General features: G+C 35.5%; 1 protein-coding gene and 1 long non-coding RNA gene across 3 annotated transcripts in view; one reads left to right on the top strand and one right to left on the bottom strand.

Moving 5' to 3' along the window:
* The window catches only part of PDC-AS1 (PDC antisense RNA 1), a 35131-nt gene that overhangs the window by 7668 nt on the left and 599 nt on the right, over window positions 1–26864 (bottom strand). Inside the window, exons 2-3 of the long non-coding RNA NR_126002.1 lie at window positions 26051–26266; window positions 11350–11445 (exon numbers count right to left, since the gene is read on the bottom strand). This is a non-coding gene — a long non-coding RNA (PDC antisense RNA 1). The remainder of the gene's footprint in view (window positions 1–11349; window positions 11446–26050; window positions 26267–26864) is intronic.
* PDC (phosducin) lies at window positions 1510–19058 on the top strand. 2 transcript variants are annotated; one of them, NM_002597.5, is made up of 4 exons: window positions 1510–1565; window positions 13141–13225; window positions 16047–16198; window positions 18118–19058. In NM_002597.5, exons 2-4 carry the CDS (start codon window positions 13165–13167, stop codon window positions 18643–18645), a joined length of 741 nt encoding a protein of 246 aa, NP_002588.3. In that variant the 5' UTR covers window positions 1510–1565; window positions 13141–13164; the 3' UTR covers window positions 18646–19058. The 2 variants fall into 2 exon arrangements, with proteins under 2 accessions (NP_002588.3, NP_072098.1); NM_022576.4 differs by lacking the exons at window positions 1510–1565; window positions 13141–13225 and adding an exon at window positions 13900–13996.

Genomic DNA, 26864 nt, shown 5'->3' with positions numbered 1-26864 from the left:
TTTTTTTTTTACCGTTAAGTCTCTATGCTTGTGCCTATATTACATATTTGAACATATGAGTACCAAGCTATATTTGACAGTAACTTAAAACATATTTTTTGAATGTTAAAACCACTATGACATTTTTTATCATCAAACTGAAATATTAAATTTCTTCACATTTGCCATCAGAAGGCATCTTTTAAGTTACATTTGTATTGCACCTGACTACATTCTAGATTCTTTAGCTAGAGAGAAAACACTCAGTTCATAAAAACTGAAAGTGAATTGCCCTGAGAAACTCTGTTGAAAAGCATATGTATAGCACACAAACTGGAACATGAAACCTGCTAAATGGGAGGTAAAAATTTGATTTAAGGATGAAAATGAAAGTTAATTTAGAAAATACTTTGATTTCTGGAAGAATCTCTTTGAAAATATTTATGGTTGTGACTCTCTTAAATATTGTAAATTTTATGTACTCTTCTCTATTCTTGAAATCAAATTCTACAATAAAAAATATATAAGCAAACAAAGTTCTGAAATGTGACAGGTTTCCCTCTTACTAACAAAGAGTAAATAAATGACAAATTAATTTAGTATAATAAAACATAACTATTAAAATTTATTTAGACACTATCACTGTTTAAATTGCATTAAGATCCACTTAAAGTTTCTGGGTGAAGCTACATATGACTAAACCTTATAATTTAAAAATCTAAATGTGTTCATTTTAATTGCCATTAATATTAAAAATTTTGTCCTCTTGCTAATTAAAAATTTCCAGTTTTAAGCTTAGAGTAAATTAAATCTCCTACTTTGGCAAAGTTAGATGAGAATTTGGCTGTGAGGATGAAAGATGTTAGGAAAAGATGGAAGATTAAACACATGCATCTACTTCCCCTACATCTCAAAACTCCATTAAAAAACAGCAGGAAAGGAATTTTTAATGGTAAAAACCAGAAACAATAAGGAGAAGTGAAAAGGAGAAAATGCCAATAAAACTAGAATCCAGAAAGCAAGTAGATCTGTAAAGACAGCCCATCTGAAAAAATTGTATTAAAAGCCTGTAGTAAGAGAAGATGAAAATCATAGTATCTCTCTTATTCCTCCCAATGTTGTAGTAATCATAGCACTTCATTGTGATTATCTTTTTACTTACCTGTCTCCCCCACTAGACTGCAAGCCTCACGATATAGGAAATAGGGTTTATTTGTCTTTGTACCCTAGTGCCTAGCTACTGCTTGTTTCACACAAAGTAGGTGCTCAGTAGATGATTATGGGACTAATGAATACAACTCATGTTATTGCGATAAATAGTACTAATAATGACCTCTGTCTCTCATCTATTCAATGTGTTCTGTAAAATATAAACTGACTACTCTTTGTTTGGTTTTGCCTTATTATTAATGAACTGGCCTTGCTAATTCTGTCAATCCTATTACTTGTTCAGAGCTATTTCTGCAAGGGTCATCAATATCTGGAGATTTTAAATCTGAGCTTAAACCTATTGAAGTTCAAGACGAGTTCAGTAGACAGGGATTCTCACCCACTCAACAAGGACACCAGGCACAGAGATCCAAACTGTGAGTCCACAAGTAGTCCTTTTGATAATATAATTTTAAAAATTTTACCTTAGGGGAAAGAATGGTGATTCACTGTTTATGTATTATTGTGTTAATGTAAAATAGTTCAAAGTACATAAGGTTTTGAATTATCTACTATAAAGACAATTAAATACAGCGTATCCTTCTCTCTTTCAGTGATTTCCACCAGTCATCTTCACTAATACAGATTCAGAGTAAACACGCAATTTTGAGCCTGATATTCTAGACTGTTAAAATAAGACCATGAATGGAGAACTCATTTTGCAATTTTAAATTTCCTTTGAGTGAAGGGAGAACTAAAGAGAATAAATGATGAGTCCTTGCACTTTATGTTTGAAGATCTGGCTCCCAAGTTGGAAAAGGAGTGCGGTAGTTGCCCCTTATCCAAGGGGGATATGTTCCAGGACCCCCACTGGATGCCTAAAACCATAGATAAAACTGAACCTTGTGTGTATACTATGTTGTTTTCCTGAACATACATACCTGTGATAAAGTTTAATTTATAAATTAGACACAGTCAGAGGTTAACCATAATCACTAATAATAAAATAGAACCTTTATAACAATATGCTACCATCACAACACTTGCGCTTTGGGACCTTATTAAGTAAATAAGGGTTACTTGAACACAAGCACTGCAATAGTCAATCTGATAACCAAGACAGTAATGCATATGGTGTGGATATGGTATACAAAGAGATGTTTCATGTTCCAGGCCAGAGAGAGCAGGATAGTGTGAGATTTCATCAAGCTACTCAGTACACTGCAAATCTAAAACTTGCAAATTGTTTATCTCTGGAATTTTTCATCTAATATTTTTGGACCAAGGTTGACCAAGGGTAACTGTAATCACAGAAAGAAAAACCTCAGATAAGTGAGGACTGCTGTATTCATCCGGCGCTAAGGCATGTTTTGAGGCTTTTCCTTAGTAGTATGTTGTTGTGGCGGTGGTTTGTTGGTGGTTTTTAATTTTTAAAGTAGAAATAATGTTTGTTTTGAAAGGTTACTTTAGAAATTTAATGAAACAGAAATAATGTTTTTAAAAGAAAAGAACACAGAGTTTGTTGATATTTCTTAAATTCAGTGAAAATTTTCTTTCAATTGGTTTTTTTTTTTCTATTTTGTTTCCATGGAGGTTATTATTATTACTAATAAACCTTACAGTTTGCATCATGAAAATGAGTGCAGTAATTGATTTGCAATGGAGTATTTTTATTAACTGCAAAAATAGCTTCTAACTATAGAGTCCATTTTAAATATATATATATATATATATATATATATACACACACACACATATTGTCCATTGTACCTGCTACTTAGAATCACCTCATATTAAAGCTAGAAAAAACTTTAGAGATCATCTAATTCATCATGACAATTTCTGCCCAAATACTATGTTTATAAGTGGATTTGATATTATATAAGTCATTATCAAAATATATATGAACCATTCATAATAATGTCTGTAATGGAATTCAAACAATATGTACAGGAATATGTATATTTACAAGATAAACAGATACTTTAAAAAAGATGGCTGTTATGAATTTCTAAAATTCTATTTTCTCCAGAACAAGTAAAAGAATATCTGTATGTCTGCAATCCCGGCACCTCGGGAGGCCAAGGCTGGCGGATCACTCGCGGTTAGGGGCTGGAGACCCGGCCAACACAGCGAAACCCCGTCTCCACCAAAACCAGTCAGGCGTGGCGGCGCGTGCCTGCAATCGCAGGCACTCGGCAGGCTTAGAGCTTGTTAAAGATTCCTGGGTCCCACTTCAGATCTGCAAAGCAGGATCTTAGAATCTAGGGCCTGAAAAGGAGGAAGGGTCCTGGTAAATATCCCCAGGCTTTCTTTTTCTTTTTTTCTTTTTTTGAGTTGGAGTCTCATTCTGTCCCCCAGGCTGGAGTGCAGTGGCGAGATGTCGGCTCACTGCAACCTGCGCCTCCCAGGTTCAAGCGATTCTCCTGCGTCAGCCTCCGGAGTATCTGGGACTACAGGCACCCACCACCACGCCCGGTTAATTTTTGTACTTTTTGTAGAGATGGGGTTTTGCCATGTTGCCCAGGCTGGTCTTGAATTCCTGCGCTCAAGTGATCCACCTGCCTTGGCCTCTCAAAGCGTTGGGATTACAGGCGTGAGCCACCGCGCGCAGCCTCTCCAGGCTTTCAGCTGGGACCATGAAGGGCTCCACTCTTTGTGGTGATGATCAGAGGGGCGTATGCCCTCCATAACACTCCCATTCTTCATCTTTTCTCATATTCCAGGAGACTGGCCCAAACAGGACTGTTGAGTGGCTCTAAGGCTTTTAGACGTCAAAAGGGTTTATAAGAATAATCATCATAATATAGTTATGAATCAGAAACATGCATACATTTTCTTAAATGACCCTGTGGGGACTGGAGTTAAAAAGGGAGGAGTACCCAGATGCAGGCGTCTAGCAGAATGGACTTGCTTGAGAATATCAAGCAAGACAGCCAAAGAGGACTCCTAGGATTGTCTCACCAGGACTTCTGAGGCGACTCTAATGAAATGACTTAAAAGTGTGGTGGAGTGGCTTCTGTGGCTCCCACACCTGCCTAATCCTGGTTGATATTGCACAACCAGCGTGCACTGACAATCTCTGGGAAAAAAGCAAGGTCTAATATTCAAAGCTTGGCAAACATGACCAAGACTTTTTCTCTTTCCTTTGAATTATTTTAGTTCCCTAATTTTTTGTCCCAGATGCCACTTAATTCTTTTTATTTTGTATTAAAAGTTGTGCTCTTGTCTCAACCTTCTTTCTAAAAAAAAAAAAAAAAAAAAAAAAAGAATATCTGTATGTCATAATAGCAAACTTGGATAGGTGGATGTCTTTTCACTAGGAACAAGAATTCAGTTATGACTTTTAAAGCTCATATTTCCAGAGTAAATTTTTTTTTACTGATGATACAGGATAACAGATAGGAAATTGATATTTGCTATGCATTCCTGACATACTAATTGTTTAAAAGGCTCCCTACAACTCCCCTGCCCAGTCCCATTTGTTGAAAAAGCAAAACTATTTGAGTAGGGTAGAAACAGAAAATATTACATCAGTTCTATAGTGTCTTATATCAAAATTTCTATCATAGTTTTTCTATCAAAGTTCTTATGAACTTTATCTAGATACTGGGAGTGGGGGGAAGTCAGGCATAAAGTAAGGAAAATTTTCAACAGCATCAGGATGAATGTTTTGTATTTAAAAGAAAGAAAACAAACATTTGCTGACTGCCAACAATTTTCTAATTTGTTATAGCCATTTTGAGGACCATGTGTCCTGTATTCCACTCATGCGTCCCAAAATTTAATTTTAAAGAAAACTCTTATTATGATACCACCAAATGTAAAAATTGACCTATCCCAAAATTAACAACTAACATAACTGAAGGTGGCAACAAAAATCCTAAGTATTGTCTTACTCCATTAGAGAACTGAAATTCAGAAAAGATATATAAAGCATTACAACATAAATGCAAAAGGGAAAATCAAACAGAAAATCACTTATGATCCGCAAAATCATGGGTAGGGAAGACAATTCATTGGAAAACAAGTATGCTACATTCAAATTAAATAATCATTCCCATTTTCCAATTCCAATTAATTCAAGAAATTAATTGTTATGAGGCATAAAATCCCCTGTGTGTCTCTTGTGGAGACACTGAAAGTCTCCACAAGCCCAGTAATACTTTCATGATCTGACATGGTGTTGTCAAACCTATCTGATATGAAATTCTCACCACTGATAATTTATTTTAACAAGAAAGGAAAGGCACAACTGCTTTCTATAGAGTCCAATATGACATTGGGGAAGATATTCTTGGAAGGGGTTAAAACACTTCATATTAATGTGTCTGTATTGGTGAGCATATTAGCTTAGCTTAGTTGATCAGATTAGCTCACAGTCACCTTAGAAAACAGGAAAGCAGAGACCTAAGGAGATGTATGGTTAGAGGTAGAGAAAAGTAGGACGTAAAGCCCTGCAAGGGTGACTAGAACACAGTGTGACACTCCGTGGGGCACAGATCAAGATACCAAATGTAGATTTCTAGCAATAGAATGAAGTAGAATGTCTGTCAATTTTGCCCACTTAGCAGTTTTTCTTAGTTTTAGCCATCTCAAAGCATAGTATGTGCCAGGTAGTGCCTTCAAGATAGATAACTTACTAAATTTCACTTCAGTTGATTTAAGAGGCATTTCACTTCCGTACTTGATTTCCAGTCTGCTATTTTTATCCCATGTTTAATCATGTTCAGTCATTACAATGCCTTTTTAGTGCAGCACCTTCTCTGAAACAGTTTCTTATTCTATGTGTTTCCAAAAGGGAATATGAATATATGCTCTCATGTAAACGAAAGAAAAAATATTGTTTATTTTAAATTTAACAAAACAAAAAACAATCTTACTCTGAAAATTTTACACTGGAGCTACTTCAATGCTCTATGTTTTCTGCATTTTGTACATCCATGGAAAGATGTCAGGTATGCTATAGGTAAATAGATAATTTAATGTTTGGCTGTTTAATTTCTTTACTTTGTACTTGGGGAGACCAGTATGAGAATAAGACTGCGAAAGCCTTTCATCATAATTTGCAAAAAGAAAAAAGGAATAAGGATACATTTACTTGAACCTCAACCCTTCTAAATAAAATCTATTGTTTCTACTGAGCATCAACCTTTTAGTTTGCTAGGGATAGTAACAGTTATTGAAATGCTAAAAATATTTTTTCTCTGTGTGGAAAACATTGCATGTGATATATTTTTTAGATGTTCTACTAGTTACTTGATCTGACCTGGACTAAAGTGAGTATATATGCTGTATACTAAATCTGTGTACCACTTTTCTGATTTACTTTTTTAGAGCAATACCCTTAATTTTACTGCAGTTAGTATAGAATACTATTATTTTCCTTAACATCAAAACAAGCCAGTAACTGGCCAAATAAGTAACTGGCATTTGTATTGCCTAACATGCAGAGGAATACTGGCATGCATATATATATATATATATATATATATATATATTTTTTTTTTTTTTTTTTTTTTTTGAGACGGAGTCGCGCTCTGTTGCCCAGGCTGGAGTGCAGTGGCGCAATCTCGGCTCACTGCAAACTCCGCCTCCCAGGTCTACGCCATTCTCCTGCCTCAGCCTCCCGAGTAGCTGGAACTACAGGCACCCGCCACCACGCCCGGCTAATTTTTTTTTTTTTTTTTTTTTTTTTAGTAGAGACGGGGTTTCACCGTGTTAGCCAGGACGGTCTCGATCTCCTGACCTCGTGATCCGCCCGCCTCGGCCTCCCAAAGGGCTGGGACTACAGGAGTGAGCCACTGCGCCCGGCCACTGGCCTATATTTTTGTGGGCTCTTCTGTGGCATCCCAGGATTGGGGGTCCACAGGCATGGAAAGAACTAGTGAATAGTCAAAAAAAATGAAAGAGTTAATTTTAGGTATGCCTCATTTCCCTAACTGCAATTTTAAAGGGTAGGTGGGGAACCCTGAAAAATCCAGAGGCTCAAAGCTTTAGAAATTAAAGAAAAGGCAGGCTATGGAGATAGAGAAATAGTGGACAGCATCAGTGTAAAGTCATTCTTTGCAAAAGTCAGAACCAGGAGCTATGAACTGAATTATATTCCCTCAAAATTCATACATTGAGCCCCTAACCCCCAATATGACAGTATTTAGAAATAGGGGCTTTGTAGAAGAAATTAAAGTTAAATGAGGTCAAAGGGTATGGCTCTGATCCCATAGAATTACAAGAAAAGACACCGGGGAGCTAACCCACTCTCTGTCATGTGAGGTCACAGTGAGAAGGCAGCCATCTGCAAGCCAGGAAGAAGGCCGGCACCAGAAACCAGCCTTACTAGATCTTGATTAGAGACTTTTAGCCTCTGGAACTATGAGAAAATTAACTTCTGTTTTTTAAGCCACACAGTCTATATTTCGTTATAGCAGCCCTAGCAGACAAAGGTACCTAGCAACTGTGTTTATTTATGACTTCTGACAAATAGAAGAGTGGCAGAAAGTTTGAGAGAATGAAGTGTTAGTTTTCAAACATAAGCCACACACTGAGATTTTATACAAAACTTGGGCTAGATCATAAAAAGCTTAAGAAACAAATAGACTTATTTTAGAAATTGATCTTAAAAATCCCTGAATCTGTAGAATTGTAACTTCAAATACATTTTAAAAATCAAATACTATTGTTTGGAATATAGGATTAATTTTTTTATTGGTTGATATGAATCCATGAGTGAAATATCTCACTTTACAATATAAATCTCCACACAAAGCTCACAGTGTAATGGTTCCATAATTTGGCCACATGTAAGAGTAGTTCTATAAAGAACATTTCCTAGCTTTACTTTTATGTATAATTGATGCATACTGCATATTACACTTGCTTTTACAAATGACCTAGAGATGCAGGACTGATGATAAGTTCTCAGTGAATTCATATGATTGTCAAAAACCAACAGTATGTCTTTTATACTGACCTTCCAGAGTCGTTATTAGTCAGTTAAAATTAATTCCATTAACATGAAATAGGCCAGGTGCGGTGGCTCACGACTGTAATCCCAGCCACTTTGGGAGGCTGAGGGTGGATCGCAAGGTCAGGAGTTCAAGACCAGCCTGGCCAACATGGTGAAACCCCGTGTCTACTAAAAATACAAAAATTAGCTGGGCATAGTGGCGTGTGCCTGTAATCCCAGCTACTTGGGAGGCTGAGGCAGGAGAATTGCTTGAACAGGGACCCGGGAGGCAGAAGTAGCAGTGAGTAAGATCGCACCACTGTACTCCAGCCTGGGCTACGGAGCAAGACTCTGTCTCAAAAAAAAAAAAAAAAAAAAAAAGAAAGAAAAGAAAGAAATAAACAGACTCTTCTATTACATTCAGTATAAACTAATGAGGTTTAATCCAAAGCGAAAATATATCATTCAAATAAGTACTGTCTCAAGGAATTTAGAGACATGGTGATTTATTGCTTTCCATTTCCTCATCTTGGTTTTAATGCATATACAAAAAAATTAGGTCGGCTTCTTTGGTTAACACATTCATTCATTAAGCATTTTATTGAAGTGGAATGGCGTAATGGAAAAAATAGAAATTTTGGAGATTTGAGAGTCAGAGATTTGAAACCTGGCTCTATACTACCTTTGTGAGCTCTGGCAAGTCACTCAATCTCTCAGAGTCTACAATTCACCTCTGAAAAACAAGGATAATAGTTTTGTGTGGATTAAAAATAGTATCTAGAGTACCCCGCACATAGTAGGTTCTTTAAAATTTGCCACTGTCATTTATGAAGTATTTACAATGTATGAAACGATTATAAGAGGTACAACAAGAAGTAAAAAATTGCCTCCATCCTCAAAGAATTTACAATAGTGGAGCAAAACATGTAAAAATAAATGCTATAAGTTGTTGTGGATGCTAGGAGAGAAGTCAGTCTATATCATACAGTGATTAGATAATCCCAACTATTTGAAAATCTACCAATAAACTACAATAGCTAGTCTTGAAAGCTAAGCTCTTCTTAAGCAATACTGAGAATATACAAGTTAATTTAAAACTAGATATTCTGATTAAACAGGTTTGAAGTGACTAACAATTGTCATGTGACCAATGATAATGACGATAATGAAATGTTTAGGGGTAGATTTGTTTTTTTAAAAGAGTCTTTTAAAACTAATGCGTAAAAATTTTACTCACTTCCTTTGTATTCCAGATCATCGCTATCATAAATGAAACAGGAACAACATGCAGGACCATTTATATTTGAATCATTTTATTTCTTGGTAATTACTAAACCATAGTTGGGAGGTGTTAGAATTTTGAGGACAAGATTTGAGAAGTGTTATCCTATATAAAGTACTATTTAAAATTATTAAAAACCTAAATTAAGAGGAAAATAAAACCCTAACTTGGTAAAATTCTATTTTAAGCTGTATTTCTCACCAATATTAGCTTTTACTATTACTTTCGAAGAGGGTGATAAAATTCTTTTAAATGCACATTATTCTGTCAAAGGATCCATATACAATTTTTACTTAACACAGGTTTTCATTGAAACAGTATTATAACTATTTAAAATAAAAAAGTACAAAATCACAGATTTTCATAATTATGTGATGTGGAAAATAATTCATTTGAACCAAAGTAAATCTTGGTGAAGGCAAGATTTTTACCTTCTGCCTTCTTGCCTTACTTTATTACCAATTTCCAATCACACAAAGATGTGCTTACCCAAAGACCTGTAATAATCCTATTGTCATTTTAAATGTTTCAGCCTAAAGTAGACATGAAATCTTTTAACCATGAAATAATAGCATTGTAAATGAAATGTTTATATTTTTTAAATGACTGATATATTGCATACACATATGTAAAAGATGTATTTTTATTTTATCTAACAGACTCATAGAGCAGTTATTATGTGCCGAAATTGAAGCACCTTGCAAATATTTCAATTAAATTACTTGTACCAGCTGGGCACGGTGCCTTATGCCTGTAATCCCAGCACTTTTGGGAGGCCAAGGCAGGCGGTTCACTTGTGGTCAGGCGATCGAGACCAGCCTGGACAACATGGTGAAACCCCATCTCTACTAAAAATACAAAAATTAGCCAGGTGTGGTGGCCCATGCCTGTAATCCCAGCTAGTTGGAAGGCTGAGGCACAAGAATTCTTGAACCTGGGAGGCAGAGGTTGCAGTGAGGGGAGATTATGCCACTGCACTCCAGCCTGGGCAACAGAGTGAGATTCTGTCTAAAAAAGACAAAAAAAAATTAATTGTATGATGCTAATGTGTACATTTTGAAAAAGATAAGATTTTTGGGATAATCAGAAAACCCCAGAGTGAGTTGGTGACAGGATAAATTAATAGGAAGGTAGATGAAATCTATTAATGGCTCATAATATTCTACTTGTGTCTTCCTCTAGGTGCTTTAAGCAGTGCAAACAAACACACTCATGTCTTAATATTTTTCTTTCAATCTGTTCATTGCTTCCCTGGCAGTAAACAGTAGCAATTTTTGCCAATCCTTGTACTCTAACTCAAATGGAGGCATTAGATAAGGATGGACTCTGTCCTTTACTTAAACAGGCAACCCAGTTGATTTAAGTCTTAGTATTAGTGAGCACCATACTGGAAGAGTTTTGTTCTTCATGTAATTCAGAGCCCAGGAAAATGCCTAGCATATAGTCTATTCTCAACATATATTAATCCAATCAACAAATACATTTTGTCCTAAGTAACTGGATTATCTTTTCATTAAAGGATTCCTTGAAATTGGTGAAAACCTTTTCTGGAAAAGGAATTTCTTTTTCCCAGTAGATTGTCAACTAGGTAAACAACAAGCAATTCAAGAAGGAAGCTGTGCCCTGTATCTTCAGCATCTGAAATAAAATTATTTTTAGATTTTCTTGAACTTATGTATATTTACTGAGAATAGTAGCTACCCCAAATTAACAATCCAGTCTTAAAAAGTAAAGAGACTGGATTGAGTCTCTATTTTTCTGGGAACTGAAAAGCTATTGAAATTATCAAATAAATTTCCATTTCTTTGTTTTGTAGTTTTCTTTCGAAGTAAAAATTTTCATGTCTTTTGAGATGCAAAATTTATTCATAAATAATTACACTAAGTAATAAGATGGCTTTTCTGTACAGCAGTTTTTACTTTCCATTTTCCATTATGCTTTTTAATTACTAAATCCATTCAAATGTAATATTCTTTATTACATTTATACTTACCTAAACATTGTGAAATTGATTGGCTTTCCCTTGACAGTCTTTTCTTGTTCAAGTGGAAAAACTCAAATTGGCAAAGACATTTGACCTCCAGTGATTCTGGATAGGGATTGCAAAAAGAGAAACAAAATTACAGGACCAGTCCAAGTGTTGAGACCAAAGGTAAAGGCAAAAGAGAAATCAAGAAAGAGTTCTGTGTTACCACCCTGCGCCTTGGGAAAGCACCACACAGACCAAATGCAGGATTGAAGTGTAAATCAATAGAAAACTAAGATGAGTTTCAAAGTATAAACTGTGCGATATAGTGCCTAAAACTGACTTCGAAAGAAGGAGGCAAAGCAAAAAAAGTGAAAGAATAAAGTATAAAAATAAGATAGTTTATCTACGATTAGTATATCCTCCCTGACTTGAAAACTTCAGGAAAATCACAACTATATGGACCCCTGAGGGAATATGTTAGTATGTATAATAATTGAGTTTTCTGGATAGTCCAAAGCTAAAAAAGGAAATAGATTTGATATGAGTGTGAACCAGATAGAATGAAAGAATAGATTCTACATGCGGGCACCAAGGAGTTTCGTATGAATAAAAATCCAAGTGCTTTTAGTGATTTTCTATTTTAGCCTGTCAAAAATACTATAAACCGGCAGGGTGTGGTGGCTGAATCCTATAATCCCAGCATTTTGAGAGGCCAAGATGGGAGGATCACTTGAGGCCAGAAGTTCAACACTAGCCTGGGCAACATACCAAAAAATAAAAAAAAACATTAGCAGGGCGTGGTGGCGCAAACACACACCTGTAGTCCCCGCCGCTCAGGAGACTGACGTGGTAAGGTCACTTGAGCCCAGAAGTTTGAGGCTGCAGTGAGCTAAATAAAACAGCACCATCGCACTTAATGAAGCCTGGGAGACAGAGTTAGACCCTCTCTCAAAAAACTTAAAAAAAAAAATACTATAGGCTTACCTACTGGCTATTTCCATTTGCTTGGTGGCTACTGTTGTCATGAAAACTTGTCCCATGGTATGGAGAGATGCTATTGAATAGTGTTCCTTAGACCATCATTTTTTAATGCCAATTCAAAGATTTGATTTGCCAAATCATACTGAGAAAAATGACTCTATTATAGAATGTTAATTTCCATAATAGTGTAATGATTAAGAGTTGGCTCCAAAGTCAGAAAATGTAGGTTCAAATCTTTGCTCCACCACTTATTGTATGATCTTGGGCAAGTAACTTAAACTCTCTGCCCTTCAGCTTCCTCGGTTACAACATGTCATTAACAATTGTTCCTACCACATATAGCTATGTGAGAATTAAATGAGTTTTGACACATAAAATAATTTAAACAATGCCTGACACATAGTGTTCATAGCAAGTATATAATTATTAATTTAATTTTTATTATATGAAATAAGTAACATATATTACGTCATATATTCAAATTTCACATAATATTAGGAAATTAGGAAAATCAGTAATAAATAATGTTCACTAACCACATAGACTTAACTGGAAGGCTTGAGTTAAGAAAAGACAAATGATGAATTATATAAAATCCTTAAGTCCAGACATCTTTAATAACACATGTTAAATTAATGTCCTTTTACATTGCGGACAGAAACATTCTAAATACTTTACCACTTACTTTACCACTGAGTGATTATCCTTAGCCTACTTATGGAATCTGGCAGCAGGAGACTATAAATATGCATGTACCTATATATTTATCTCTATATATATGTATGTACATCCTGGAATTCTTGTGTCATTATTATTTCTTTGTTCCTCCTATAGATTATATCAAATCCAGTCCCTAAAATGGAAGAAGCCAAAAGCCAAAGTTTGGAGGAAGACTTTGAAGGACAGGCCACACATACAGGCAAGCAAAGCTAGAAGAAAAAATAATTATTAAATTAAAATTAAATATGGCAATATCTAATGTTCTTATTGACACTATTCAGTATGTACTTTAAGTAATATCTTTATATAAATTGTTATGCTAATCTAAAAAATATTTGAGCGGGCAAATTAATTTTTGAAATCAAATAATTCCTAACAGTTTTATTTAGATGTCAAAGAGTAAAAAAACAAAAACACCAATTACTGGTAATTTCTTGCTGCCCAGCTATCACAAGACCTCTTATCTACACTATAATTAAGCCACTTTCCTCTCTCCTGATTGTACCCCACCCTCAGTATGAACTTTCATTGTAAACAAGATTAGACCAAAAGGTTAATAAATGGCCTTTAATTTCATTTTTTTCATCTAATAAAGGGAATGATAAGATATTCCCTTTATTTTTTTGAATAAATAAATTTCAGTATTCCTCCAGAAAACTTAACACTTCATTTCATCCAGAGTCTGTTTTCTTAATCTGTTAAATTATGTTTGGCTATCTATATGCCACTCCTAAGAGCTTAAAACTTAAATTTAAAAATTCACATTTAACTCTACTAAATCTTATTTGAATGGTAATTTCCTCTCTCTTTTAATTTGGATTGAGCCATTAAATTTAGCCAGAAGTTTGAAAGAATTCACAAGAGTACCAGCCAAAATGTGTGGAGATTTATTTTATAATAGCAATGTGAGGAATACCTTCCTAATTATGACAAAAACAAAAACAACAACAAAAAGACCATTGAAGAAAAGGTTGGTAAATTCATTTATAAAAAGGAAGGAAGGATGGATGGATGAAGGGATGGAGGGAAAGTAGGAGACAGGGAAAAAAAGGAAGGAAATATCTGCTGTCTGGTAAAGGTCACCAGGAACAAAAGTCAAAAAGCATTTAACAAATTGGGGAAAAACATTTGCAACTCAGTTGACAGTGTCAGTTTCCTAATATATATTAAGAGCTTCTACAAATCGATAAGAAAAGAAACTAATTACCAAATAGAACAATGAGCAAAAGATAGGACAGACTATTCATGGGGAAAAAAAGAAACAGAAAAAAGTAACACAGAAAACTATAGTGAAAGCAAGTAAGTTTAATAACACATTTTTGGCACCCTCATACATTGCTGATAGCAGTGTAAATTGGTACAATCTCTGTACAGGCAACCTAGCAATATCAAAATTAGTAATGTATATGCCCTTTGACCAGGGAATTTTACTTATATAACCATAACTATACCTGCACAGAGTGTTAAAAATGTATGCACAAGATTCTTCACTCAGCATCATATGTCATAGAAAAAACTGGAAACAACAATGTAGATCACGATTAAACAGTTTAAGTCAATTATGTATATCTACACAATGGAACACCATGCCTCAATTTTCTAAATAAGGAAGAACCTTTTCATGTGTGTATACTGAAAAAATCTCCAAGATATAGTATGAAACAGAAAAAACAAGGTAAGGAAAAATGCAGATAATACACCACCATCTGTAGAAAACACGAACAAAATGGATTCTCTTTTTTAAACAAACATACACACATGTATATTTTGCATATGCATAAAACATATCTAAAATATTGATATGAACACTGTATGTGAAAACAAAAAGCTTTGATTGCCTGCATATAATATAAACACATTCATAACAAATTTATATTAAATATATATCATATATAAAACAAAAATTATTAGGCAATATAGAGGAGAAAGAAGGAATACATCCACATATAGAATATGATATAGAATATGGACATTAAAGGTGTAGATATAGCTAAGCTTTAGTGAAGGATAGTCAGTTTAATATTCCTTGTTTTAAAGAATTTAAGACTTTCTTAAATGAATAACGTTGTTAGTCATCAGGTCAACTGAATATCAGAATTCCAGTTGAATCATCCTTCATTTAATTAGTTTTACTTAAATCTGCCAATCTGGCCGGGCACAGTGGCTCACACTTGTAATCCCAGCACTCTGGGAGGCTGAGGTGGGCAGATTACTTGAGGTCAGCAGTTCAAGACCAGCCTGGCCAACATAGTGAAATCCCATCTCTACTAAAAATACAAAAATCAGCCAGGCGTGGTGGTATGCGCCTGTAGTCCCAGCTACTCGGGAGACTGAGGCAGGAGAATCACTTGAACCCAGGAAGTGGAGGTTGCGGTGAGCCAAAATCACGCCCCTACACTTCAGCCTGGGCAACAGAGCAAGGCTCCATCTCAAAAAAAAAAATAATCTGCCAATCCTATTCTTTCTATGTTTGCAAAATATGCCTAGAATCTTAGAAGAATGGGATGTTCTCGTAATAATTTTCCTAAAGCCATTTTAGTTTTGTTGAGGTCAGGCCCCCTGCTCACCAGTTGTTTTTTATATACTATTGTTATTTTGTTTCCCCAACATTCCCAGTTTCCTTTATTAATACTGTAATGCCAATTTTAGTTTGTTGCTGAAGTTTTTTTCTTAGGTAATAAAAGTGCTATTTTTTCCAAAATTCTAGTATCCTATCAGGACTCTAATTTTTAAATATATTAACCCCAACCTTTTGCCAGTAGTTCAAAGTGCATAATTTATATTTTCATTAGTACAAATGTTTCCGAAATATCCTTTACCAAAACCCATTTAACAAGATTAATGTGGGAGCATATTTTTATGAGCAGGGCAGTCAGAAATTTCTAGTCCAAACAAGATGTTTGTTTCTGATGCAGGAGACAATAAGTTTATTCCATGACAATACTTACACAAATTTCAATTATGCCAACAGTCCTTTTGAAAATAAAAAGGAAAACAATTTATTTTTAATTTCATTCCAGGACCCAAAGGAGTAATAAATGATTGGAGAAAGTTTAAATTAGAGAGTCAAGACAGTGATTCAATTCCACCTAGCAAGAAGGAGATTCTCAGGCAAATGTCTTCTCCTCAGAGTAGGAATGGCAAAGATTCAAAGGAACGAGTCAGCAGAAAGGTAAGATAATACAAAAAGCAGTAATAAATAATTTACAATGTGTTTTCTAATCTAAATCAATCTAGAGAATCACTTTAGACTATTACAAAATATATTCATTACAATATTGCTTACGCTGGCAAAAAAAAATGGAAATGAAGTGAACACCTATTGTGGCATTCTATACTAAGAACAGGTACAGTTATGAAAAGAATTCGTTACGAATACATGAGCTGACCTAGAGATAGTTTCACAATATGAGAAAGCAACATACAGAGAATTCCATCTGGGGAATTGTAACAAACCTGCTCCACTTGTTTTGAAAACATGTAAAGAAAAAATAAATGTAAAACTATTTTGAAACATGTAAAATACTACACAAATGTAACACATAATCACTATTAAAAATTTTATGCTAAGGTTAAACTTTGGAAATGTATCTGAATGCCTACATATCCATATGCCTGAATATGTGAATGAAACAAGTTTTCATATAAATGCTCAAATACATCTTCAAGTCAAATTTGTGTGGTTTGATCTGTTAAATTAACAGAACTATAGCAACAACTTAAAAATTATATGAAACATTGGAAATTTTTAGGATTAAAACTAAATTGGGACAATATTATTATTATTATTACTATTATCATTTTGAGACAGAGTCTCATTCTGTCACCCCAGCTGGAGTGCAGTGGCGCAATCTTGGCTCACTGCAACCCCTACCTCCTGGGTTCAAGCGATTCTCCTGCCACAGCCTCCCAAGTAGCTGGGACTACAGGCATGTGCCACCATTTTTTGTAGAGATGGAGTTTCACTATGTTGCCCAGTCTGTTCTCCTGGGCTCAAACAATCCACCTTCCTTGGCCTGCCAAAGTGCTGGGATTACAGGCATGAGCTCCCATACCCATCCCGGGACAGTAATCTTAAAACAGAAAAAAATATGATAAGGAAAAGAATGAGGACATTAGGGAAACAAATATAAGAAACAGAAGCAAAAGAAAGAAGTAATGAAAGCATCATAAACTTTTACTTAACTTAAATCTCAGTGTCTTCTGTAAAATGACACTAATAGTACCTACCTCAGAGGTTATCTGTAAGGATTAGATAACATAATCTACGTGAAGTACCCAACACCTGGTATGTTTTTCATAAACATTAGTTTCACGTGTTCTCAATTCTCCTCTACTTTAAAAATCCATGGTTCTGAGCTGCTCCACATCTATTAATCACACTATGCCCCATTGTTCCTTTATACCTTTTTTTCTTTTTTGGTTGGGGGAATAGGTGCTTAATATTCTGTTAAATACATTAATAATGGAGTAGCTATTATGGAAGGCCCTGCAGGTGACTTTTTATTCCAACTGCAATGAAAAGTAGCTATCTTAGAAAATGGAATTTGGGCCTTTTCTTACTTCAGCCCAAACTAGTGAATAATAATACCCTGGAGGGCTTGTTAAAATATGGATTACTTAGCCTCACTCTTATAGGTTCTAATTCAGTAAACCTAGGGTGGTGCCCAAATATTTGCATTTCCTAGAAGTTCCCAAGTGATGCTGATGCTGCTGGTCCAAAAATTAACCTCTTGGATGATCTGATGAACTCCAAATAGTAGGAAAAGCTGTCTTACTTGAATTTTTTGGATATTCAAAAAAATCAGTAAGTTATAAGATATAATAGTGTTTGTTGCTATAAAGAAAATAAACCAGCATAAAGATGGAGAGTGTGAGATGGGGACCTTTTTAGGTAAAGTAATCAAGGAAGGTGACATTTAAACAAAAGCTTCAATGAGGTGAAAGAGAAAGGCACATCAGGAGTGAAAGGTAGGTGGTCCAGGCAGAAAAAAAAGAGCAAAAGTACACTCCTTCGGTTGAGAATGGGCTTGGTATATCTAAGGAATAAAACTTCTGACTTAATAATTTCTATCATTTCTTTATTCTCAGATGAGCATTCAAGAATATGAACTAATCCATAAAGAGAAAGAGGATGAAAACTGCCTTCGTAAATACCGTAGACAGTGTATGCAGGATATGCACCAGAAGCTGAGTTTTGGGCCTAGATATGGGTTTGTGTATGAGCTGGAAACTGGAAAGCAATTCCTAGAAACAATTGAAAAGGAACTGAAGATCACCACAATTGTTGTTCACATTTATGAAGATGGTATTAAGGGTTGTGATGCTCTAAACAGTAGTTTAACATGCCTTGCAGCAGAATACCCTATAGTTAAGTTTTGTAAAATAAAAGCTTCGAATACAGGTGCTGGGGACCGCTTTTCCTTAGATGTACTTCCTACACTGCTCATCTATAAAGGTGGGGAACTCATAAGCAATTTTATTAGTGTTGCTGAACAGTTTGCTGAAGAATTTTTTGCTGGGGATGTGGAGTCTTTCCTAAATGAATATGGGTTACTACCTGAAAGAGAGGTACATGTCCTAGAGCATACCAAAATAGAAGAAGAAGATGTTGAATGAAGATTCACTATGTCAATATCTCATGTTTATCCTTTAGGTATTGGATGATGGTTTTGGTAGTATCTATATTGCTTTAGTGAACACAGAGTATGGGCACGGCTATGCTAACTTGACAAAAATGACTGATGCAACAATCGAGTTATTAGCATTTCTTAGTATTAGTTACTCAAATTGATACAATGCTTGACTACAAAACAGAGCTGTCTTCAGCAACATTATTAGTAGACAAAGAGGATGTGGATAATATTATGACATTTTTCAAAAATCCCTTTCAAGTTATGTTTTGTCTTTTTTACTCCATTTTCCCTCATCACTGTTATTATTTGGACTTTTCAAATTACATTATTCATTATAATTTTCTTTGTGTAATAAAAATGAAATCTCATGAGAAAATAAATTTTCTATTTGAAGTCTATTCTTTCTCAAGCATTACATTACCAAGACCCTAAAAACATTATAAAGCCCAAAATACAAAATATCATTCAGTAAAATATCTTATATTCCAACCAAATTAATGCATAAGAAACTTAGAAACACTGTGCCAAGTTAAAGTTGTATTTAAAAAAGGAAGCAATATGTTTTTATTCTCTGGGTGTAAGAATAATATTTAGTGGTAATAAAATTACAATATTCATTTGTTGATTGCCTATTATGGGCCAGTATTTTATACATATCATCTCTAATTCTTAACCACAAATCTGTACATAGATAGTATTACTCCCATTTTATAAATAGTAAAACAGAGAATCAGAGAAGTGAAGTGTAAGTTCTACTTTTATTTCCCTTGAAAACATTTGGAAGTCTCTCCTCCAACACAAAAACGTGGAAGTGAAAAATAAAATATGTTTAAATGTCTTTAAATGAACAATGAGATGAAGAGCAAGATAAAAGAAATTCCTAGGTGTCTGAATCACAGTAGAGAAATAATGGTGCTGACATAATATGGCCTGCAATTAAAGATATGGTACTTGATAAGTACCCAAAAAGGGGCTCCCTGTGAGAAATCTGTTTAAAGCAGGTTTGCACAATTTCCTGTGGCAGCCTAATGTTGAAATCAGACATTTGCCACAAAGTCTACTTTTCACTCTCCTAAATGACTATTGTTATAGCTTGTCTCCTTTCCATAAGCCTTTTATATCACTTTCCTCCACTTCAAACATTTCATCTTACTCATACTTCATTGAGAAAACAAAAGATATCAGATGAGACCTACTTCATCTTTCCATCACCAGATCTAAAGTGGACAGCTGAAGTAAACACTGTTTCTGCTGATGTCATGATGGAAGAAGTGTCCATTCTATCTAATGCCAACTGATCAAACTGTGCTGTGAATCCTACTCTTTTTATCCACGTAGTAATTATTTCTCCTGCAATTATGACTCCCCTCTCTGCATCATCTCTTTCTTCCTTCTCTATGTTGTATTATTTATATTGGCTTACATGTGAATTTTTAAATAGCCCACTGTTTAAAATACGCCCACCTATAACTTAAATTTTCCAGCTATCACTCACTTCTCTTTCCTTTACAATTGTGTCTCTCAAAAGAGATATCTAAAGTCACCATCTTTATTCCTCACTTCCAATTTTTTTTTTCATCTCACTCCAAGCAGGCCTTTGTTCCAAGTACTTAGAGTCAAACTTAATAGCCAATTCTCATTCCTTATTTTTTTTCTCCCTCTTAAAAACACGTGTCATAGTTGACTATTTTCTACACCACAACCCACCCTGTTTTTTTTTTTTTTCTTTTTCTTTTTCTTTTTTTTTTTTTTTTGAGATGGAGTCTCACTCTGTAGCCCAGGCTGGAGTGCAATGGTGCAATCTTGGTTCACTGCAACCTCCGCCTCCCAGGTTTGAGTGATTTGCCTGGGAGTAGCTGGGACTATTGGCATGCGCTACCACCCCTGGCTAATTTTTGCATTTTTAGTAGAGACGGGGTTTCACCATGTTGGCCAGGGTGGTTTCGAACCCGTGACCTCAAGTGATCCACCTGTCTCAGCCTCCCAAAGTGCTGGGATTACAGGCGTGAGCCATGGCACCTGGCCTCTTACCCTTTTTAAGTCACTTCTTTGGCTGATTTGAAAACTCACTGCTTGTTTGCTTTCTATTCCACTGACTATTCCTTCCAAGTTTCCTTTGCTGATTTATCCTCTAAACACCCCAGGTAACGTCCTCCAGTTCATAATCTTAATTACCATTTATATTAAGGCCACTCTCAAATTCACATCTCCAGTTTTATCTCTGTCCTAGACTCTAAAATCCTATGTCTCAATTGCAGGAAGGGAAGAAAGGAGGAAGCAAATGGTGTGGCAGTGGAGGGGAAGAAGGTCTGCGATTGTACTAGATTTTGGTGAAACAAAAGTGGGTGAGATAGAACTCCTGACTGTGACTACTCCCTAACATATGGTCACTTCAATAGGTACTGAGTGTTTTTGCTCATGAATCTAAAATTCCATCCTCTATTCTTCTTTATCAACTGGGAAAGTAATTTTAATTGCCCCATGGACTATTTCTAACTTGATGAACAACAGGCATATCACATGGAGAAAAAGTGCTAGAAAGGAGACATTCAGGGTAATTATATATAAAATAAGTAGCTTTAAAGTAATAGTTCAACATGTTTTCTCCTATCAAGTAATTGCTAACAAATGTATTAATCCCATACAGAGTTCTTTGCTAAGGAATTACTGGACCTAAAAAACTGTAGCAAAAAACAGGATCCTTGCATAATATATTTATAATTCAAAAACTCCTCAGTGGAACAACTCTTTATAAATTGACATTAATTCCATGGACTGAAAGTAAATACTTAGAAGAATGGTAGCAAGGCAGTAACGAAGAATAGTCAAATAAGCATCTTAAAAGAGAGCAATATTTTAAGAATAAAATATGTTATTTTTAATCATTAGCCATTGTTAACTGCGATGTAATGCAGTTTTGTCAGCCAGGCACAGTAAAGCAAGGCTGAACAGTGAAAGACTCATCTACAGAAAACAAGAATCAAAATGAGTAAAAATGAGTAATTTGAAAGATTCCTACTTAAAGAAACCTTTACTCTTGAAAGAAATAACCTACCGTGCCTTAATTTAAAATAGAGAACTAGCAAGCTTAAGCAGGACTAGGCTCAGGAATGTATTTAACCCATAATTGCCAAAACAAAAGTAACTAGGTGGCACCTGTTTATAGAGTAAATGATGATAGCAACCATTCTCAAAGTAAGCACTCGATGACTAATGGATGCCAAGGTGAAGCTTTAATCACAACACTCATCAGGAAGAGTTGAACAAAAAGCAGGATTTGCCTAGAATATTTGAAGCCTGCTGCTGCAGAAATACTGGATTACAAACTGCCCTCGTGTAAACACTTAATCTGCAATTCTTTTGGCAGGAGGAGGAGGAGAAGAAGAGATCATTATTGTCTCAGCAAAAGGATGATGTTTTAAATGTAAAGGCTTAAAATGTCATAACATGTCTCATAACAAATCACCCAAATAATAACTGGAATGGACTTGAAGGAAAAGCCAAGAGTGTTAGCTGTAAACTAATAGGAAACTTTGGAGGAAATAGCAAAATTATCCTGTAAAGTCAGAAGCTCATTCATTTATTTGTTCACAACATACTTATTGATAAGATGCCATTTAACAGCCAGTGTCCTTGATCTCAGAGATCTTAAGGTAAAGAAAACAAACATCAAACAAGCAATCAAAGATAAACGCATCGGCATTTGTATCCATGTGTCTATACTGTAATGGTGGTTAGTATCTTGAACACCAGATCTCCTAAGTTTTAATTCATTCACTGATTTCATGACTTTGGGCAAATTAGTTAACCTCTCTACTGTTTCCTCATCTGTAAAATAAGAAAAATAATAGCACATGTTCATTGGGTTGTTGTGAGGGGAAAAATGAGTAAATTATGTAAACTAGAGCAGTACCTGACACTGACATTACTCAAATGTTAGTTTTCATTATTATTAATAGATATACATGAAGTAAAATGGTGCATACAGTACACAGATATACGATTTTAGGGATCTGCTTATGTAAATAAAAGTTAATTTATTAAGAAGTTGGGATTCAATTAATCTATGCTAAACACACCACTCACATTTCTCTGTATTAGAAACTTATTCAAACTTTCATGTATGTGAATTGAAAGAGAGAAGTCCCAAAAAACTGCCATTTCAGAATGACTGTAGATACCACAATAAGCAAATTAAATTAAGTCTGAAAACAAAATAAAGTTTAGCACATAAATAAGAAATTCATTTTGAAGTTTTATACTGAATGTATTATAGAATAAAATTTAATCGTATACTTATCTATTCAAATATATCTAATACATTATCTCATGATACAAATTTTATATATTTTTGTTCCCTTTCAAACATTCTACAAATGTCTGAGTGTCTAATACATACAAGGAATTATGTTAAATAATAGAAGAGATGATGAAAATGTATAATATAATCATTCTTTCTTTTCAACAGATTTACAGTCTAAGAGGGGAGCACACATTTCTTAAATTAAAAGATATAGTGACATTTTAATTTTACTTATTTATTAATGTTGAGATCTTATATTCTGGAACCCAGCTTATACTGGATTTCCGTGAAGAAACTGTCATCCACTCATGCCCCTCTGATTAACTAACATATTCTGGCATGCAGTTCTTCTTTTTACTTTTACTGCCAACTTCCCTTCAATTTCAATATACCATTCTCTGATGATAGTCATCTACCCTTCCAGTTCTCTCAATTCATTTTTTTCTTTTCTTTTTTCTTTTTTTTTTTGAGACGGAGTCTCACATTGTCATCTGGGCTGGAGTGCAATGATGGTATGATCTCAGCTCACTGCAACCTCCGCCTCCCAAGTTCAAGCGATTCTCCTGCCTCAGCCTCCCGAGTAGCTGGGGTACAGGCGCCTGCCACCAAGCCTGGCTAACTTTTTTAGTAGAGATGGAGTTTCACCATGTTGGCCAGGCTGGTCTCGAACTCCTGACCTCAAGTGATCCACCCGCCTCAGCCTCCCAAAGTGCTGAGATAACAAGCTTGAGCCACCGCACCCGGCCCTCTCAATTCTTTTCTACCAAACCACACGTTGTTTAAGACCTGCAATTTCTCAGCCTTGCCTGTTTGACACTGCCTTTCTCCACTTTCCCTGTTTCTATCCTTCCTGTGCAGCCTAAACACTTGACAGATGTCATCAATCACCTTCCTGCTGGCACTTCCCCCATTTTTATCCCTTTATTCTTCCAAAGCACTTATCGTTTAAATCCCCAAACTTCCAATCATTTCAACCATCTGATCTCTCTTTTCCTAACTACTAGCTGGTAAGTCCTACTCAACAAAATTGTATCTTCCTCAAAATTTCATACATATATCAACCAATCAGTGCTCTTCAACTGGGGTCCATAGCTTGTTCTGCAAACAGATCCCTCTTCCGTTTCCCACAGCAGCTATTCCAAACCTTCATTATTCTCCTCAGTCTCCCTCTCCTACATCCTTAAACGACCTTCTTTCAACATCCCAGTAGACACTGAGCCCACCAGGCATGAACTTCCCTAATTTCTTACCCCACATCTATTAACTCAGCTATTTTCCATTTTATTGTTCTCAAAGATGTGTTTCTATGTGAGACTAATATTGTCATCTGTGCTTTTAATTGGATTATAATACATTCAAATTTCTTTTTTATTCATATTACAGTTCTATCCCCTCCATGTTTTTTATTCACAACCTAAAAACAACTTTCTATCTCTTATTTAAAAACTTGTCTTGGTTCTTCCAAATTATTACTACCTATTGTCTCCAGTATTTTCCTTCTCTTCTTCATTCCCAAAACTCCTTGCAAAAACAAACAAACAAAAATTCAATTTTTCTTATTTAATCTTCTTCCTTTCTTTCCATTTATTTTTCCACCTATCTGCCTCAACTATTCCACTGAAAGTGGTTCTGATACAGATCAGCAATGACCTCTGTGTCAGGCACGTCCCTGGAAGGAAACAACACAAACAGAAAAGGTATGATTGAAGGGAGTTTAAAGAAGACTATTTGCACATGTATGTTTATTGCAGCACTATTCACAATAGCAAAGACTTGGAACCAACCCAAATGTCCAACAATGATAGACTGGATTAAGAAAATGTGGCACATATACACTATGGAATACTATGCAACCATAAAAAATGATGAGTTCATGTCCTTTGTAGGGACATGGATGAAGCTGGAAACCATCATTCTCAGGAAACTATCTCAAGGACAAAAAAACCAAACACCACATATTCTCACTCATAGGTGGGAATTGAACAATGAGAACACATGGACACAGTAATGGGAACATCACACACCAGGGCCTGTTGTGGGGTGGCGGGAGGGGGAAGGGATAGCATTAGGAGATATACCTAATGTTAAATGGCCAGTTAATGGGTGCAGCACACCAACATGGCACATGTATACATATGTGACTAACGTGCAGATTGTGCACATGTACCCTAAAACTTAAAGTATAATAAAAAAAAAAGACTGTTTACAAGGGTCTAGGCAGGAAACTAACAAAAGATAGTGAAGCACCACCTATTAACAGGTGAAAGTGACTCCTACCCACAGGCCTGGAGGGGGCAAGAAACCAGTGAGACCTGCAGCTATAGGAAAAAGCTGCCCAACAGGAGCTTTTGCTTTTGGAAGAGAAACACTGCCCCTGTCACTCTGTGGCCCAGGAGGGACAGAGCTTCAGGGAAAAACAACTTGCACTCTCTCCTCGTGCTCTTCTATCTCTTTTCAGAACCTTTCATTGTCAGAATCCAGCTGAAAGCCAGAGGACAAGAGAACCCTGTTGATGAAGTCTGTTAAGTCAACCTTCTCTAGGGATAAAACAGGATGGAGAAAGATAGAACGTGAATTTTAAGAAGCAAATGGAGAATATCCAATACACCACCTAACCACCAAGCCTGTTAGACTCAACAGTCCTCATCTTACTTAACTTTCGGCTACATTGAATGCTGATTACCAATCCCAAATTGAAATTCTTTCCTCACTTTGGTTTTCATAATACCACTCTACAGATTCTTCTCTGCTTCTGTGACCGGGGGCATGCATGCTCCTTGTCTATTGGTGTTTTTCTGGATTAGTCTCCTCCCTCACACTTCAGATGCTGTTATTCCCTCTGACGACTTCAGGTACCATCTACACCGAGGCTTCTGAAAATCACCACTGTTTACATTTTGGACCAGATAATTATTTGCTGTGGGGAGTTGTCTTGTGCATTATAGTATGTTTAGCAGCATTCCTGGCCTCTAACCAGTAGATACTATTAGCATCCCTCCCTCAGTTGCAACAACTAAAACTATCCTCAGACATTGCCGACTGTCCTCTGGAAGGTAAAAATCATCCCCAGGAAAGAACTGCTTACCTCTACATACAGAATATGTATCTTCTGTCCTGAGTTCCAGGCTGATGGAAACTTAATTACCATCATCTGTCTCCTGGACAATTGCAATCATTTCCTAAGTGGGCTCCACAACTCCCAGTTTTCATGCTCACATCAGACTGATCCAAAAAAGACTGTGAATGTGTGAGGGAATCCCAAGGCTGTCAAGCCATGCAGCTGAAAATATTCTTAAAACATCTACGAGACACATGAAAAGAAGTGGAATTGTAAGAGTTTTTGACTTACACTCTGAAACATTTGGGGATGTAGATGCTCTTCTTGATGACCTATGACTTGTGGGAGTGAAGTAGCTCTGTACAGAAATATTGTACCTCCCATTACAGGAAAAGATATTCTTTCAGAAGAAAGTAAACTCAACAGCAGCATTTCTCTAGTCAATTTTCAAAAGTTTGGTCTCTAACTGGAAGTTTAAAACGTGAAAAGAGTATAATGACTAAAATGGTACGAACATATATTTAGATAAAAATATGCAGGCTCTATGACAAAACAGTTATCTTTTACAACAATTGGATTTGAAAAAATTACACACACAATACACACACACACACACATATATTATATACACAAACAATAATCATTTTAACTTGACTTTTCAAGATAGGTGCTACTGCAGTAACTCCTGTGCTTTTAATAACAAAAATTTGAAAAATCATTTAAGAACAAATACATTTGTCATAGGTAGTTGTTTATATGCCTTGCTATGAAAATAAAGTACCTCATGAATAAGTTAGATATTGCATTCCTGAAACATATATAAAAGTCAAATACTATGTAT

The sequence above is a fragment of the Homo sapiens genome, chromosome 1 (assembly GCF_000001405.40).
Source record: "Homo sapiens chromosome 1, GRCh38.p14 Primary Assembly".
In the NCBI taxonomy this organism is placed as follows: Eukaryota; Metazoa; Chordata; class Mammalia; order Primates; family Hominidae; genus Homo; species Homo sapiens.
Note: the sequence above shows the minus strand (reverse complement) of the source record. Positions and strands in the feature narration are given on the sequence as shown.